Source organism: Homo sapiens, chromosome 17 (assembly GCF_000001405.40).
Source record: "Homo sapiens chromosome 17, GRCh38.p14 Primary Assembly".
NCBI classification, from domain to species: domain Eukaryota; kingdom Metazoa; phylum Chordata; class Mammalia; order Primates; family Hominidae; genus Homo; species Homo sapiens.
In genome coordinates this window covers 37797638-37817208 of record NC_000017.11, presented here as the reverse complement: position 1 = coordinate 37817208, position 19571 = coordinate 37797638, and the positions used below count along the sequence as shown (strand labels likewise).

The 19571-nt window shown below is 42.4% G+C and overlaps 1 long non-coding RNA gene across 2 annotated transcripts; it reads left to right on the top strand.

The window, feature by feature from the left end:
• The first annotated feature begins 1491 nt into the window (after positions 1-1491).
• On the top strand, positions 1492-19222 carry LOC105371757 (uncharacterized). Of its 2 annotated transcripts, none has more exons than XR_934720.3 (4): positions 1492-1652; positions 14879-15108; positions 18248-18330; positions 18973-19203. It is a non-coding gene; the product is annotated as an uncharacterized LOC105371757 (long non-coding RNA). The 2 variants fall into 2 exon arrangements; XR_934721.3 differs by having other exon boundaries at positions 1498-1652; positions 14882-15108; positions 18973-19222.
• Positions 19223-19571: the final 349 nt, after the last annotated feature.

Below are 19571 nucleotides of genomic sequence, written 5' to 3'. Positions count from 1 at the left end.
ACAGGAAATACTTGCTTCTTGTGTCTTCCTCCAGGCCCAGTTGGGTTTAACAGAATTGCACCAACCCGACATTTATTGTACTTGATAGATACTGCTGGACACCACGTGCTTATTGTAAAATAATCACTTGGAGCACTAGGAACCACAATAGATCAAGGCCAACACTGTGCATTAGCATTTAATAGAGGAGCCCAAGGCCTCAGCCAGGTGGGTGTGGCTGTTTAAACACTTGATGACTTAAGGGATTTCAAATATTCACTGGACAATCTAAACTACTGGTCTCATCACAAACACCACATCCAAAGAAGAAAATTAGAATTTTTTTTTTTTTTTTTTTTTTGAGACAGAGTCTTGCTCTGTCGCCCAGGCTGCAGTGCAGTGGCACAATCTCGGCTCACTGCAAGCTCCGCCTCTCAGGTTCACGCCATTCTCCTGCCTCAGCCTCCCGAGTAGCTGGGACTACAGGTGCCCACCACCACGCCCGGCTAACTTTTTTTTTTGTATTTTTAGTAGAGACAGGGTTTCACCGTGTTAGCCAGGATGGTCTCCATCTCCTGACCTCGTGATCCGCCCGCCTCGGCCTCCCAAAGTGCTGGGATTACAGGCGGGAGCCACCGCGCCTGGCCGAAAAAAGTTTTTAAATAATTTTTAAAATTATAGTTCTTTCTTTTCAGCTTTATCCCATCACGGTTTCAGGTTGTTTCTGAAGTTTCCTTCTGTTCATGTCACCACTAGATGGTGCACATTACAAAACATTAGCCCAGGAGCGGAGCTGCATTTGTCACTTTGCAATAACTAGAAGGGAATCAGAGGTAGGGCTGCCAGATTGACCAAATCAAAATACAAGACTTCCAGGGGCCAGGTGCAGTGGCTCACACCTGTAATCCCAGCACTTTGGGAGGCCCAGGTGGGTGGATCACGAGGTCAGGAGTTCGTGACCAGCATGGCCAATATGGTAAATCCCCGTCTCTACTAAAAATACAAAAATTAGCTGGGCGTGGTGGTGGGCGCCTGTAGTCCCAGCTGCTGGGGAGGCTGAGGCAGAAGAATCGTTTGAACCCAGGAGGTGGAGGTTGCAGTGAGCTGAGATCACACCACTGCACTCCAGCCTGGGCGACAGAGCAAGATTCTGTCTCAAAAAAAAAAAAAAAAAAAGGGCTTAAAGTTAAATTTGAATTTTAGCTAAAATATCGCATGGGACATACTTATGCTAAAAAAAATAAAAATAAAAATAAAACCTACTCGTTGTTTATCTGAAATTCTAATTTAACTGGATGTCCTAAATTCTACCTGGCAACTCTACTGCGGGGGGGACTTCAGGAAATAAGTAGATAATACAATAGCTCTTAGCTTTTTCAAACACTAGAATTTTTGCTGGCATGCTTGGAGGGATCAAAAGACTCAAAGCCACAGGAAACAAGCCAGCAATTATGACAACACCATCACAACTACAGCACGACAATGTCTTCAGGGTCCAAAAGCCTTAGCAACGAACCCACTACTTCCTGGTTTGCCCCCCAAGTCATTGCGTTCCTGCCCTGAACACATCTCTTATGTAATCAAGGCAAAGTTCTTGAATGCTTCAGCAAACTCCCTTGCTTTCCTTGGCAATGGCTTGATGGAACCTTGCCCTGTGCCATCTAGATCTTAAAGTAAGTTGGACCTAAACTATTTTGAGGCATAGAACCTCAGTGTTCAGTTTGACAGGGAAGAGTGTAATCATTTGTAAGAAAACTAATTTTTATATGTTGATCAAAACTTAGCAGCATATATGTAAACGTGGGTATTGCACCTCCTGCCCATAGCTGGCAGCCCTTGGCCAGCCTCAAGTTTAATAACTCGTGGAGAAGAAAAGCTACTTAACCTGCATTCGGAGCTCTTTCTTGACATGCATTGGCTTGACCTGCTTGACCATAAGCCCTCTACAAGAAGGGACCATCTTTACAGCATCTTGAATAGAGAAAAGCTGAAACGCAACCTTGAATTCAGGGTATTGCACTCTGAATCAATGTTGCACTCAATATACTTTCTAGAAAATGGATTGTCCCCACTTTGTGATCCAAGCTGTCGTCCACAGATCTACCTGTGTGACAAAGGGGTCCCTGAGTATAGGATAGGGAGATGAAAAAAGAAAAAGAGAATTGGAGAAGCTCAGATTGGAAGCATTAACCATCAAAGCTTCAGAGTTGGAGCCCACTCTGATATCTGATTACTCTCTCTGTTGAGAGGGTGAGGAAGGCCTGATGGTCAGCTAGCTCAGTCTGAACTCCACTATTTCTTTCTCCTGGAAAATGATTGCTTGCAGGAATAGGTAACATGGGAGGAAACATAGATGGTACGATTCATTCTTGACTATGCTCTGAAACTTGTGAACACATTGAGAAGAATCAACTTTCTTACTTCTAGAAACCCATTCCAAGTAGAGCAGCCCCACAGGAATGCTGCCTCCCCCATAAGACTAAAAAGAGAATATTCGGCTGGGCGTGGTGGCTCACGCCTGTAATCCCAGCACTTTGGGAGGCTGAGGTGGACAGATCATCTGAGGTTAGGAGTTCAAAACCAGCCTGGCCAACATGGTGAAACCCCATCTCTAATAAAAATACAAAAAAGTAGCCAGGCATGGTGGCGTGGCGCCTGTAGTCCCAGCTACTTGGGAAGGCTGAGGCAGGAGAATCACTTGAACCCGGAGGCAGAGGTTGCAGTGAGCCGAGATCACATGAACCCGGAGGCAGAGGTTGCAGTGAGCCGAGATCACACCACTGCACTCCAGCCTGGGCGACAGAGCAAGACTCCATCTCAAAAAAAAAAAAAAAAAAAAAAGAGAGAATATTCATTTTGCTGGTGAAGAGGGGACATTTGGGAGCCGGGGACCTCCTCTTGGTAGATTCCTGACAAGTTGTGTAAGTCGTTAGGCCCAGGGGAGTTTAGAGAAGATCATGAGGTTTTTCACCTGCAGAATGGGTACATGATCCCTTCGCTTCCTCTCGGTAATCCTTAACTAACATACTCACACCTAGGAAAATTTAGGTCCTAAAGTTAACATCCTGTTTAGACAGCCACATAAGAATTGTCAGGCAGTGACATGATTTAGACATTTTTGCTCTGTGAGATATCCTGAATTCCTTAGGTTAACACATGGATAAACATGCAAAGGAAAAGACCCCACATTTTTCAGATTTTGCTCACAATCCTCAAAGCATAACGGTTCTGGAGGAAGCTGAGCATTCCTACTTGGGAAGGGAGGGTAAGAATCAAGATTGATTGAAGTGAGTCATCCTAACTCCCCTGCTGAGAGGTTCCCATCCCCAGGAACTCTGCCTGTCTGCACGGATTCATTCCTCACACACTGTCGAGCATCTTGTGTGCCAGGTGCTGCAGATGAAAATATCGCATAGTTTTGCAAGTGAGAAAACCAAGACTCAGAGGGTTCCCAAGATAACATAGCAAGTGATGCAGCTGAGATTTTAACCCAGGCAGTCTGGCTGCAGAGAAGCTGGAGTACTTAGCCATTATAGAAACTTCAACAACAATCAAAACGCAGTTCCTGGGCCGGGCGTGGTGGCTCATGCCTGTAATCCCAGCACTTTGGGAGGCCGAGACAGGTGGATCATGAGGTCAGGAGATCGAGACCATCCTGGCCAAGATGGAGAAACCCCATCTCTACTAAAATACAAAAAATTAACTGGGCGTGGTGGCACGCACGTGTAGTCCCAGCTATTCGGGAGGCTGAGGCAGGAGAATCGCTTGAATCTGGGAGGCGGAGGTTGTAGTGAGCTGAGATCACACCACTGCACTCCAGCCTGATGACAGAGCGAGACTCCATCAAAAAAAAAAAAGTGGTCCCTATTCTCGAGGAGATTATCATTAAGTGAGGAGAGCAGATAAATAAATCAATAATTAAGTAGAGACAGAGTGGTATTAGAGGTGAATCATATAGGAAAGCCACAGAGGTACCAACCAAGGGAACTTAAACCAGTGGTGGGTGGAAGTGAGCACAAGGCGAGCACAAGATTTCCTGAAATAATGAGTTTTGAAAAACAAGGAAGGATCTTCCAGGGAAAAGAGGGGAAGAATTGTTACTCTGTAGAAAGAAAATAGCAGATGCAACGTTTCTGATGCAGTAAGTAGCTTTAAGAAATCTAAAAATATCAGTGATTGGAGCAGAGGGCAGAAGTGGCCAAGAAGAGTAGTAAGAAGTGAGACAGAAGAGGCAGGCAGGGGTCAATAACAAATGGCCTTTTATACTACTTGAAAGTTGGATTTTATTCTGAAACTAATGGGATCCATTGAAGGATTTTCAACAGAGAGGGCAAGGTAATCTAAAACTTTACCAAGTTTGCTTGAGCAATATGATGGATAATGGATTGGAGGGACACAAGAAGCAGCTAAAAATACTCAAAAATATCTTCCATACGTGCTCCAGTCTGAGCCAATTGTTCTCTAGAGAAGATACACGGCTTTCTTTGTCGCCCTTCACTCTATTGTCTTCCTACATTGGCTTTATCTTCCTCTTCCTGTCCACACCTTGTTGGAGTAGATTCTCATGTAAAAATACTAAGGAAATCTGCTTTATAGGAAAAATTTCTGAGTTCTTGTACATCTGAACTGCCTTTATTCTGCCCTCATTCTTGATAGATAATTTGACTGGGTATAGAATTCTAGGTTGAAGCTGCAAAAAAAAAAAAAAAAAAAAAAAGAAAAAAAAAAGAAAAAGAAAAGAAGAAAAAAAGAAAAGAAAAGAAAAACAAAAAGAAATATATCTAACCAAAGAAGTGAAAGAGTTCTACGAGGAAAACTACAAAACACTGCTGAAAGAAATCATTGATGACACAAACAAATAAAAACACATCCCATACTCATGGATAGGTAGAATCAATGTCGTGAAAATGACCATACTGCCAAAAGCAATCTACAGATTTGTTCAGTTCCCCTCAAAATACCATATTGTTCTTCAGAGAACTAGAAAAAACAATCCTAAAATTCATCTGAAACCAAAAAAGAGCCCACATAGCCAAAGAAATACTAAGCAAGAAGAACAAATCTGGAGGCATCACATTACCTGACTTCAAATTATATTTACAAGGTTATAGTCATCAAAACAGCATGGCATTAAAATATGCATGTAGACCAATGGACAGAACCCATAAATCAAATCAAATACTTACAGCCAATTGATCTTCAACAAAGCATACAAAATATAAATTGGGAAAAAGAAACCCTATTCAATAAATGGTGCTGGGAAAACTGGAAAACTGGCAAGCCACATGTAGAAGAATGAAATTGGATCCTCATGTATTACTTTATGCAAAAATCAACTCAAGATGGATCAAAGACTTAAATCTAAGACCTGAAGCCACAAAAAATTATAAAAGATAACATCAGAAAAACTCTTCTAGACACTGGCTTAGGCAAAGAATTCATAACTAAGACCCCAAAAGCAAATGCAACAAAAACAAAAATAAATAAATGGGACCTAATTAAATTGTATACCCATTCAAAAATAAATAAATGGGGCCTAATTAAACTAAAAGTCTTTTGCACAGCAAAAGAGATAATCAGCAGAGTAAACAGACAACCCACAGAGTGGGAGAAATATTCATAAACTATGTATCCGACAAAGGACTAATATCCAAAATCTACAAGGAACTCAAACAAATCAGCAAGAAAAAGATAAATAATCCCATCAGAAAGTGGGCAAAGGACATGAATAGACAATTCTCAAAAGAAGACAAACATGAAAAAGCACTCAACATTGCTAAGTATCAGGGAAATGCAAACTTAAACCACAATGAGATACCACCTTACTCCTGCAAGAATAGTTATAATTAAAAAGTCAAAAAATAATAGATGTTGGCGTGGATGTGGTGAAAAGGGAACACTTCCACACTGCTCATGGGAATGTAAACTAGTAAAACCACTATGGAAAACAGTACAGAGATTCCTTAAAGAACTAAAAGTAGAACTACCATTCGACACAGAAATCCTACTACTGGGTGTCCACTCAAAGGTAAAGAAGTCATTATATAAAAAAGATACATGCACGTGCATGTTTATAGTGGCAGAATTCACAATTGCAAAGATATGAAACCATCCTAAGTGCCCATCGACTAACAAGTGGATAAAGAAAATATGGTTTATATATGCTATATTGGAATACTACCCAGCCATAAAAAGGAATGAAATAATGTCTTTTGCAGCAACTCGGATGGAGCTGGAGGCCATATTCTAAGTGAAGTAACTCAAGAATGGAAAACCAGATATCACATGTTCTCATTTATAAGTAGGAGCTAAGCTATGAGGATGCAAAGGCGTAAGAATGACATAACGAACACTGGGGACTCAAGGGGAAAAGGGTGTGAGGAGGGTGAGGGATAAAAGACTATATATAGGGTACAGCATATACTGCTTGAGTGATGGGTGTACTAAAATTTCAGAAATTACCACTAAAGAACTTATCTATGTAACCAAAAACACCTGTAACTGAGAAACTATTGAAATTTTTTAAAAAAGAATTCTAGGTTGAAAAAAACATTTTCCCTCGGGACTTTGAAAGCATTGCTCCATTATCTTCTAGTGATCCCCGTCTGGTTCTCTTTCCTTTGCTCTCCCATTCATAAGAATTGTCTTGTATTTCACATCATCTTGGGCATTACACTTCAGCGGTGCTGGCCTTCCTCTTGTTCCTTGAACATATCAAACTTTACTTACCTACCTCTTGCCTCTTCCTGAAATGTTCTTCCCCCAATCCCCTTGTGGCTGGCTTCATTTCATCAATCAGGTCTGAGCTCAAATGTTGGCTCTGAGAGGACTTTCTTTACCAACCTAGCTAAACTGGCAAACACTAGATGTGTAAAAATACTGAATTAATTTAAAATAATTAATTCATTCATCAAATCTAATTAGGCCAGGCACAGTAGCATGTAATCCCAGATCCTCAGGAGGCTGAGGTGGGAGGATTGCTTGAGCCCAGGAGTTTGAAACCAGCCTGGGCAACATATTAAGACCCACATCTCAAAAAAAAAAAAAAAAAAAAAAAATTGAGGTTCTGCAGAATATTTCAAAAAGGAGTTAGTATTATTTGAACTGTGCCAAATTCACAATTTTATTCATTTTCATGACTATGCATGTGGGAAACAAATGAATCCCAAATGCCTACCTCACACCATACATAAAAAATAATTTAGGTGCCTTATAGATCTAAATGTAGAAGAAAAACTAATAAATATTCTAGAATAAGACATAAAATATCTTCATGATCTTTGTAGGATGGCAGATTCTTAAGCAGGACGTAAAAAGCCTTAACCAAAACTTAATAAATTGGACTAGATTAAAATTTAAAGCTTCTGTTCATCAAAAGACATCATGAAGTGAGTAAAAAGACAAATGAGAATAGATATTTGCAATACACAATGCACAAAGAACCCATTTTTAGAATATATAAAGAACATTGATCATTAATAAGCAGAAGGCAGACAATGAAGATGTACCAACAGAAAAATGAGCAAAATATTTGAACAAATACTATTCAAAAGAAGATATCCGGCCGGGCGCGGTGGCTCACGCCTGTAATCCCAGCACTTTGGGAGGCCGAGGCGGGCGGATCACGAGGTCAGGAGATCGAGACCATCCCGGCTAAAACGGTGAAACCCCGTCTCTACTAAAAATACAAAAAATTAGCCGGGCGTAGTGGCGGGCGCCTGTAGTCCCAGCTACTTGGGAGGCTGAGGCAGGAGAATGGCGTGAACCCGGGAGGCGGAGCTTGCAGTGAGCCGAGATCGCGCCCCTGCACTCCAGCCTGGGTGACAGAGCAAGACTCCGTCTCAAAAAAAAAAAAAAAGAAGATATCCAAGTGGCTGATAAAGATATGAACATAGTGCTCAACTTCACTACTCCTCAAAGAAATGCAGTTTAAAAGCATAACATAATATCACTGTACATTCACCAGAGTAGCTAAAATGAAAAAGACAAATGATATCAAATGCCAGCCAGTGTTTGGAGCTTCTAGGACTCATATTCAGTGCTGGATGTGTATACTTATCAATTTCCTTTGGAAATCATCTTTAAAGCTAAACATATCCATGCACTGTGACTTGGCAATTCCACTCCTGGAAAAATTCCCGATAGAATTGCTCACGTATTTTCATCAAAAGGTATTTACCAAAAGAATGCTCACAGCAGAACCATTAGTAATAGCTCAAAACAGGAGGCCAGGCGCGGTGGCTCACGCCTATAATCCCAGCACTTTGGGAGGCCAAGGCGGGTGGATCACCTGAGGTCAGGAGTTTGAGACCAGCCTGACCAACATGGAGAAACCTTGTCTCTACTGCAAATACAAAATTAGCTGGGCGTGGTGGCACATGCCTGTAATCCCAGCTACTCGGGAGGCTGAGGCAGGAGAATCACTTGAACCCAGGAGGCAGAGGTTTCAGTGAGCCAAGATCATGCCATTGCACTCCAGCCTGGGCAACAAGAGCAAAACTCTGTCTCAAAAAAAAAAAAAAAAAAAAAAAAAAAAAAAAAACCAGGAAACTACCCAAATATCTCTCAAAAGTAGAATGGATAAATTGTGCTGTAGTCATAAAATGGAATACTATTTAGTATGAGAATAATTGAACTATTACATGCAACAACATGAATACACCTCATAAACATACATAGTAAGAGAAGCAATATACCAAAGATTTTATATTCTGTTCCATTTATATAAAATTCAAAAATAGGCAAAAACAATCTATGGGTTTAAAGTTATTATCTTTGCTTTCTCTTGGAGTAGGTGGGTAGTGGGGGCTGAACAGAACTGAGAGAGGGCACCAGTGAGATTTCTGGGGCACTGGTAATGTTTTTAGCTTTTGATCTGGGTGCTGATTACATGGATATATTCACTTTGTGAAAATTCATCAATCTATACATTTCTGATTTGTGCACTTCTCTGTATGTATGTTATAGTTCAATAGAAAGGTTGCCAAGAAATGATGTTGTGGGAATTAAATAAGATAAAAAATTAAGTGCATAGCAGATGACAAGTACCCATTAAATGTTTATTGTTAAATTTCATAGTATAGTAATCATAGTGAGCCAAAGTGAGACTTTTTTTTTTTACCACGGCAAAAAGTGATTTTGAAAAACAGAATCTTACCCATTAGGATGGCCATTATTTGGGAAAAAAAAAAAACAGACAAAGAGAAGTGTTGGCAAAGATGTGGAGACATTGGAAACCTGTACATTGCTGACAGGAATGTAAGACGGTGCAGCCACTGTGGAAAATAGTATGGTGGTTCCTCAAACAATTAAACATGGAATTACCACATGATCCAGCAATTCCACTTCTAGATGTATACCCAAAAGAATGGAAAGCAGGGACTTGAAGAGATATTTGTACACCAAAGTTCATAGCAGCAATATCCACAATAGCTATAAGGTAAAAACAACCCAATGTCCATCAACACGAATGTATAAGCAAAATGTGGTATATCCATACAATTGAATAGTATTCAGCCTTAAACGCTGGGCAGGGTGACTCACGCCTGTAATCCCAGCACTTTGGGAGGCCAAGGCGGATGGATCACAAGGTCAGGAGATCAAGACCATCCTGGTTAACATGGTGAAACCCCGTCTCTACTAAAAATACAAAAAATTAGCTGGGTGTGGTGGCGGATGCCTGTAGTCCCAGCTACTCGGCAGGCTGAGGCAGGAGAATGGCATGAACCCGGGAGGCGGAGCTTGCAGTGAGCCAAGATTGTGCCCCTGAACTCCAGCCTGGGTGACAGAGTGAGTTTCCATCTCAAAAATAATAATAATAAAAAAAAAGGAATGAAATTCTGACACATGCTACAACTTGGATAAACCTTGAAGACAGTATGCTAAGTGAAATAAGCCATACATAAAAGGACATTGTCTAAAAAAATCTTTTCCAACTGCTCTGAAATATTATCTTTATCATAAATCAAGTGGCCTATACGTGTCAGTTCACTTCTAGACCCTCTATTCTATTCATGCGTTTGTCTATTTTGGGTCCATAATACCATACTATCTTAGTTACTGTAACTTCCAATAAGGCATGATATGCAGTAGTATAATCCTTCCAGCTCTGTTTTGCTTCAGGATTATCATGGCTATTTGCATTTCTATGCATATTTTAGACTCCCACTGCTTATCGATTTTCATTAAAGCACATGCTGGGATTTTGAATGAAATTGCATTGAATTTATGAATCAATTTGATAAGAATAACGATGCTTTGAATTAGTAACTATCCCCATTAGGGAGATGAGAAAACAGATTTGAAGAGATTATGTAACTTGCTCAAAGTCACACAGCCAGAATTTGAACCCAACACTGCACTCTTCTATGTCTGACTTCAGAGCCTTCACATTGAACCATGCCTTCTAAGTAGACTAAAATATCTCTACTACTACTGTCACTCATTGCCACCTGAGGACAGAAATTATGTCATCTATGTTTGTATCTACTTAGCTGCTAGACATTGCCCAGGACTAAGAAACTGTTCAATAAGTTCTGATTCAGTGATCAATTAAATGGGTGGGTGAGTAAGGGAGTGAATAACTAGCTTCTGAGAACATAATGCCTTGCTGGCTGCTAGATGCATTTGCATTTGCCCCTCAGAGACAAATACCTAAATAAACAAACCAAACAGACTGGGTGTGGTGGCTGTCATCCTAGCACTTTGGGAGGCCGAGATGGGAGGATCGCTTGAGCCCAGGAGTTCAAGACCAGCCCGGGCAACATATGGAGACCCTGTCTCTACAAAAAGAAAAAGAAAAAAAAATAAAAATGCTTAAAAGATTTTTTTTTTTTTTTGAGACGGAGTCTAGCTCTGTCGCCCAGGCTGGAGTGCAGTGGCACAATCTTGGCTTACTGCAAGTTCTGCCTTCTGGGTTCACATCATTCTCCTGCCTCAGCCTCTGGAGTAGCTGGGACTACAGGCACCCGCCACCACACCCTGCTGATTTTTTGTATTTTTAGTAGAGACTGGGTTTCACCATGATAGCCAGGATGATCTCGATCTCCTGACCTTGTGATTCACCCACCTCGGCCTCCCAAAGTGCTGGGATTTTTAAAAACCGAAACTGACATTAATTAAATAAAAATTTTGTTCTGTTACTTTTTTCTTTTTCTTTTTTTTTTTTTTTTTGAGACGGAGTCTCACCCAGGCTGGAGTGCAGTGGCGTGATCTCGGCTCACTGCAACCTCCACCTCCCAGGTTCAAATGATTCTCCTGCCTCAGCCTCCCGAGTAGCTGGGATTACTAGATGTGTGCCACCACACCCAGCTAATTTTTGTATTTTTAGTAGAGATGGGGTTTCACCATGTTGGCCAGGCTGGTCTTAAACTCCTGACCTCGTGATCTGCCCGCCTCAGCCTCCCAAAGTGCTGGGATTACAGAAGTGAGCCACTGTGCCCGTCCTGTTCTGTTACATTTTAACCCCTAACAGCTTAAGTCTTACCACCTAACTACTATTTGACTTCCTATAGAACTCTCCAACTCATTCTCATTTTGATCCAACTGCCATGACTGAATGGAATAACGTCTACAGTACCATGTAACCAACATCACTAGGTGTAAGGGAAGTCTGTTGGATTAGAACTGCCCCACATTTACTCCCCATCCCTAACAGCATCCTAGTTTCCTTTATTGGAATCACCTCTTCTGCACCAGGCATAGGTTGGTGGTTCTACTTACTCCTAGCTGAGAGGTGGGCGGGTGGCCTAAGCTTGATCAGTCTGATGTTCTTTCCCAGGCATTGGAATCTTGAGCAAAGAGAAAATAAGCAGGGATTGGCCACAGCACCATGCCACCCTGCCCCGCACTGACCAGGCAGTTCCTCGAGAGGATGGCTGCTGAGGTTTTCCAGCCATGCTCTCCAGTCTCCTGATGATTCTTTGAGCCTCTGGGAGCCTTCCAACATCTTTATTTTTTGCTTAAAATTTTTTACTACCAAAAGTTTCCTCACTGATACAGAATCTAATACCAGAAGTGGGATGTTGCAAGGCTAAGTGGAAGCATTTGAGTGAAAAGAAATAATTGATATCTGAGAATTTAGTAATTCTTTGTTAAGTTATAGTAAATGGCTGGTTAAACCATTGGCTAGTAAGTCCTGAGATTTAGACTATATGCTTCCTGAGGCTTTAACACTAAAGGATGTTGTAAAAAAAAAAAAAAGTTTTGGATTTTGGAGTGTGCTGACAACTTCTTCAGTAAGGTCTTCCAAGCAAGAGGTAAGATTAGACTGAAACTGTCAGGGGCGTTTGAGCCAGAGCAACTCCATCTTGAATAGGAGCTGGGTAAAATAAGGCTGAGACCTACGGGGCTGCATTCCCTGGAGGTTATGACATTCTTAGTCACAGAATGAGATACGAGGTCAGCACAAGATACAAGTCACAAAGACCTTGCTGATAAAACATCATGTGGTAAAGAAGCCTGCCAAATCCCACCAAAACCAAGACGGTGACAAAAGTGACCTATGGTCGTCCTCACTGCTCATTATACGCTAATTATAATGCATTGGCATGCTAAAAGACACTCCCACCAGCACCTTAACAGTTTACAAATGCCATGGCAACGTCAAGAAGTTACCATATACTGTCTAAAAAGGGGAGAAAACCTCGGTTCTGGAAAGCACCCACCCCTTTCCTGAAAAACTCATTAATAATTCATCCCTTGTTTAGCATATAATCAAGAAATAACCATAAAAATGGCCAACCAGCAGCTCATGCTACTGCTCTGCCTATGGAGTAGCCATTTTTTATTCCTTTGCTTTCTTAATAAACTTGCTTTCACTGTATGCATTCACCCTGAATTCTCTTTCACAAGATCCAAAAACCCTCTCCTGGGGTCTGGATTGGGACTCACTTCCAATAACAAAACTGGCCCATCTAAAAGCAAGAGACAAGAGAAAATAGCAGGCTTGCTAAGAGTTGCCTTTTTTGCCACTGGCCTGCTGTTCCATTTGTCCGGGAGTATAGGAAAAGCTCCTTTCTTCACCCTCAAAGTTGGCAAAAGAGCTGGCCATGGTGGCTTCTGCCTATAATCCCAGTAGTTTACTAAGGCAGGTAGATAGTTGGAAGCCAGGAGTTCAAGACCAGCCTGGGCAACATAGTGAGAGTCTACCTCTACAAAAAAAAAAAATTTTTTTTTAATTGGCTGGGCATGGTGACGTGTCTTCCCCCCCTACTAGGGAGGCTGAGGCAGGAGGATCACTTGAGTGCAGAAGTTCAAGGCTGCAGGAGCTATGATCACACCACTGCACTCCAGCCTGAGTGACAGAGGGAGACCCCATATAAAATACAATACAATATAATAGGAAACATAAAGTGAGCAAAAGAAAAGCAGGAACATGGGAACCAAACAGGAAATAAGATTGAGGCCTGAGAGGCAGCCCTCCCAAGCACCTCCTATTATGCCTTGAACAAAGAAGTCAACACTGCCCTTGGGAAGATGCAGCAGGATGCAGCCCGATAGCAGCACACAACAGGGATTATTGCTCCACGAGGACTGCGGGCCCAGGCCCCCTGGGGTTGAATCCCCACTCTGCCTCTTACTAGCAGGTTACTTTATTGCTCCATGAATAGTTTTCCCAAATTGTGCATGGTAACAGTTCCTGTCTCACAGGGCTGCTTATGAAGATTAAGTGAGTTAATAATACATATAAAGACTTTAGAACAGTGCCTGCCCCGTAGTAAGCAATCAATACACGTTACTCCTAATATTTTTGTTGTTATTATGAGGAATGAGTAGTTTGAGTCCTCCCCACCCACCCTATTATTTTGGCTTTTCTCCAGTTGAGGCCAAGACAGAAGCATCAAATTGAAGGGATCAGGGGATGGCCAGAGCACTGGGCCCCATGCTAGGAGGTTGATATTCCCAGGGAGTGTTTTGTTTCAAAAAGTATGACATGATAAGATCTCTGACTCTGGGTACTCTCCATGGCATTAGCCAGGAGCAAATAGACCAGGACCTTGTTAACTTTTTAAGGGTGTCATTTTGCCAAATAATCCTCAAGCCTGGCCTATAATGGCCTAGGATAGTGAATTCCAGGCTTCCAAACTCACATCAACAGAGAGAGAGCTGCTGAAACAGAGCAGCTCCCAGAAAGGGGTACCCCTCCTCAATGTGCATGTCACAGGGTCCCATGAAGGACAATCCACAGGACAGATTTTCCCAGACAGACAAGCAGGGGCCCCAGAAGCCAACAGGCAAAGGGAAGCCTTGCAGAGGGCAGAGCTGGGGGAAGTCACTTATTTGCTCCCAGGAGACCAAGTCCATGTGATTTCTGGCAGAGTCAGATATGGGCTATGGGCCAGTGACCACTAGGAGTTGTTTCCTATTCTTTCGTTTTCCAAAGGAGAGTTATTACTGCAATTTCCCTGTTCTCTCTCTACCACTGTCTACTGAGTGCTGATTAAATTTACCACTTAACCTTAGTGGACCACAGGAGACCAATAAGAGATCCATGTATGAGGACCACACATCACCCAGAGAACCAGAACTGGATAAAATCATGGCTTGTCTCTTTGAGGGAAAGAGGTTGATTGGGTTTGGTGTGGAGGGTGGATATTTTTGAAGGCATGTTTATGGAGATAGAGGTAAGTGTGGCTTTTGGGCAGCTAGAGGGGGTAGACTGTACTAGACATATGTTGTTTTTGCAACCCAGCCTCCACTCAGTCTTCTGATAAAATAGCCTCTTCCAAATGTGGTTGGGTTGGCATCCCAGTCCTATGCAAAAATCGAGGGATGGGCCTTGATTCTCTTAAGGCAATTGACATGCCCCCACCTATATAAAGAAAGCCAGTGAAATTTGATACATGTACTAAGTCTGGAAAAAGAAGAGTTTCTCATTCCTCTCTCCATCTGTCTTCAGCAGAAGTTACTGGAAAGAGACCTCTCTTCCCCTGGATGGCATCGTGTGAAGACATGTGACTTGCAGTCACTGTGGACATTTGTGACCACAAAGACCCATGAAACTGGATGATGAAGCCAAATCTAATACCACAGAAGGCAGAGCAAGGAGAGGGGGAGAGGCTGGCCTTGGTGACATTGTTTGAATCTAGTCTTCTCTGAATCAGTCCCACCTTAGCCCTTCTCAATCATGTAAGTCAGAATATCCCCTCGTTTAAGCCACAGCTTCTGTCATAGCATAAGGAGTTCTCATAGGTTCACTAGCAGAATTGGTGCTTTTTATCTTTTAATAATAAAACATGTTATTTATCAAGAGCTTTATAGTTTACAAAACATTTGCATAGACAGACCTCTTTTGATGTTGTTACCTCCCAAATATGGCAGGCAGACCTTGCGTTATTATCCTTCTTTTAATAGATGAGGAAACTGGGCTTAGAGAGTCTACTGCCAAGGGACACTCAGCCAGTAATTAGAAGGGCTAGAGCTTGAACTCAGGTCTTCTGACTTTCAGAAAAATTCTCATGTTGCAGTAGGTGTTGCACAGACCCATAGCAGAACATAGCTTCTGTTCTAAATTCTGCAGTAGAACAGGATAGTCCTGCACCCAACCCAACTGATGTTCTCTCTCCATCAAATTCTCAACAGTCTTGCCTGGATTTCAAATCCTGAGCCCCGGAACAATCGCTTCTGCAGGAGGGGAAAGGACTCTGAGATATCTCTGGGGCAGTCATGCAGGAGATCATTTTCCCTTGTGGTTTCATTGATTTTATGATCAGGGAGTCTGTGATCTTAGTTGGAAATATTTATGCTCTAAGGGGAGAGACTCAGGAGTCTCAATCGTGTCTGTAGGCCACCCACCCCCAGGGACCTTCTTAATTTAGTGATTCCTCCCCTCCGGCCCCCCTTCTCCTGTCAGCCTGCCTTTACTCAGGGCGAGCCAGAGTGGGTGATGTATTTATGAGAGTGGAGTTCCAGAGCCCACGTGGAGGAGTAAATTACAAGTGAATGCACCTCCAGGATGGGGTGGCCTCCCTTGTCCTGGCGGCACTTCAAAGCTGCCTGAAAATTCCCCAAGGAGAACAGCCAGTCTCAGATGGCTTCAACCCTCTGATGGCTTTGTCAGACACCTGTCCAAGCATCCTACAAGATCTACCAGCTTTAACTCACTTGTTTCCTCCAAGATCTGCCAGCTTTAACTCACTTGTTTCCACACCTGCTCACACAGAGAGCGCACCGCCCCTTTGCAGAAGGAGACACGGAGGTGCAGGGAGGCCCAGATTATAAAGTTAGAAGGCTCAGGGGCTAAATCCACCCTCCAGATGCCCTTCTGGAGTTCCATCTACCAGCACTACCTTCCCTGAAGGGCCAGAACTGTGTCTCATCTGTCTTTAAATCCCCATCTCTAGCACAAACTATGGCCAACAGATGGGGCTCAGTACATTTTTGTGGAAATCATTGGCAATTTTGCCATCCTTTTGATTAAAGTCCAACTTGAATTTCCCATTGCTTTAGGCCACAGACAACAAAGACCTTAAGATGCTCATAGGCATTGGATAGTAACCCATCTGATTCCTCAGTAACTCTTCCAGGTACCAAAATAAAAATCATTTACATTAGTAAAATTGCTTTAGAATTTACAAAGCCCCTTTACTTATATCCTGCCTTTCATCTCTACAACCATGAGGCTGGCACAGGTTCACCCATCTCAGAGATGAGGAAACGAAGACACAGAGAGTTTGGGTAATTTGCCAAAAGTCACACAGCTGATAAGTGACAAAGACAGGACTCACACCCAGGTTTTTTAATTCTGAGTCCAGGGTTCTTTCCACTGCATCATAACAAGCAGTGTTTCTTGTTTTTTTTTTGTTGTTGCTGCTGTTGTTTTGAGATGGAGTCTCGCACTGTTGCCTGAGCTGGATGGAGTGCAATGGCGTGATCTTGGCTCACTGCAACCTCCACCTCCCAGGTTCACGCGATTCTCCTGCCTCAGCCTCCCGAGTAGCTGAGATTACAGGCGCCCACCACCACACCTGGGTAATTTTTTGTATTTTTAGTAGAGACGGGGTTTCACCATGTTGTCCAGGCTGGTCTCAAACTCCTGACCCCATGGAACGCCCTCCTCGGCCTCCCAAAGTGCTGGGATTACAGGCGTGAGCCACCGCACCCTGCTATGGTGTATTTTTATCACCACCTTCTCACAGGCCCTGATGGGCTACTGGAGAAAGAGGAAGCTGAGTCCAGGGTGGGAAATCCCCTACTCCACCTGAGGCAATGGAGCAGGAAGATGAAGGTTGTCTCCAGGCTTCCTCCACTTCCTGTGCACCTACTGCAGGCCAGGTCCCTACACACACTGACCTGCTTCCAGGAGAGGATTTACAGAGAAGCTGAAGCGTCAAGCCCCTCCTGTGGCCCCGGTTAATGAGTGCCACCAATTGACTACACAAGAACACCTGAAATACCCTGAGCTCATAAATAAAAGAAACCTCAGAGAGGTTTTCCCAAATTTGACAACAATCCTAAAAATGTGCATGACATTACAAATAATGATTAGTGGCGCTGAATAATAAGCTCCCAGTAATCAAAACCAACTTTTGATGAACCGTGCTATTAAAAGACTGAATTATACTTCTCTTCTGGCTATGGACAATATTACAAAATCTTTGTCATTGTAGGGAGTGATCAAACAGCATTTAGTCAAAACGTAGGAAAGAAAGTATTTCAATTTTATTTTATTATTTATTTATTTATTTATTTATTTATTTATTTTTGAGACGGAGTCTCGCTCTGTCCCCCAGACTGGAGTACAGTGGCACAATCTTGGGTCACTGCAAGCTCCGCCTCCCGGGTTCACACCATTCTCCCGCCTCAGCCTCTCTAGTAGCTGGGACTACAGGCGCCCGCCACCACGCCCGGCTAATTTTTTGTATTTTTAGTAGAGACGGGGTTTTCACCATGTTAGCCAGGATGGTCTCGATCTCCTGATCTCGTGATCCACCCGCCTCGGCCTCCCAAAGTGCTGGGATTATAGGCGTGAGCCACCGTGCCCGGACAAGTATTTCAATTTTAGATTTGGGGGTATGTGTGCAGGTTTGTTACAAAGATATATTGTGTAATGCTGGCGTTTGGGCTTCTCTTGAACCCCACCCAAATAGTGAACGTAGTGCCCAATAGATAGTTTTTCTACCCACCCTCCCGTCCTTCCTCCCCCATTTTGGAGTCCCCAGTGTCTATTGTTTCCATCATTACGTTCATGCACACCCATTGTTTAACTCCCACTTATAAGTAAGAACACGCAGGATTTGGTTTTCTGTTTCTGCATTAATTTGTTTAGGATTATGGCATCCAGCTGCATCCATGTCACTGCAAAGGATATGATTTCATCGGAAAGAAAGTATTTGAAAGAGCTTTGTTCAGGTAGTTAATTTTTTCTTGGATTTGTGATATTTATGCTATTTGTTGGCTTTTAAAATATATAATTCTTGTCAATTCTAATTGTAAATAAATGCTCATTTTGTACCTAACTTATTATAATTTTCCATCCTGTTTCCTTAAAGAAAGCCCCATCAAACTGTAAAAGCCTCAGGTTGGATCCAACCCTGCAGGGCCATCTCATTTAGATATTATTAGCATAATAACTCTATGAAAGAATTACTATTATTATCTTCATTTTACAGATGAAGAAACTAAGGTTCGGAGATGATCATTTTGTCCAGATCCCACAGACTAGTCAGGAGCAAGTCTTGGTTTCAAACTCAGATGTGACCCACAGTCCAAGCTTTTCCTACTGTGTGATTACTAGAACCAACCTTTGTGGAAATTCATTTATGGTCCAGCCACTTAATGTTTCGGGAAACTGTGGTTTTAAAATACGTCCACAAATTATTTGGTACTCTTTCCTCCAAGAGGTCATCCCTAACTCCGCTCCCATTGTGGGCAGGCTGGACTTAATGACTTGCTTTGAGCAAATAGAATATTGAGGATGATGGCAAGAGATTGGATCTTGAAAGATGCTGGGGCTTCCTTCTAGTTCTCTCTTTCTTGGACTACTCTTTCCAGGTCATGCTAACTATCATGTCATGAGGACACTCACGCAGCCTATGGAGAGGTCCACATGGTGAGGAACTGAGACCTCTGGCCAACAGCTTTGTAAGTCCATCATCTCAAATCTCCAACCCCAATCTAGCCTTCAGATGACTGTAGCCCAACCAACATCGTGACTGCAATCTCATGAGAGACCACTCATTGCAAACCTGATCCTGGATTCCTGACCCTCAGATACTATGAGATAATAAATGTTTTTAGCTGCTAAGTTTGGGGGTAATTTGTTATGCAGCAATAGATAATTAATATGGGAACTGCTTAATGTTGTTGTAATGGAGATGCTGGCTAGGTGTTTCTAAAATGTTTACATGGGAGATGGATTGGGAGGGTGCAATTGGCTCCCTGCAAATCCATCACTACTGGAAAACAATTTATACACGTTTTTACCAAGGGTGGATCAATATTGTATTTTAATGTGCATTTGCAAATATCCTCTCAATTAATCAGATTAGCTGTGGTGGTGCAGATTTTCCAGCTGCCCTCCCATCACCAAAATGATCTCTTTACATTGAGGACCCAAGCGAAGGTTAAGAAGGAAAATATCTCATTTTTTG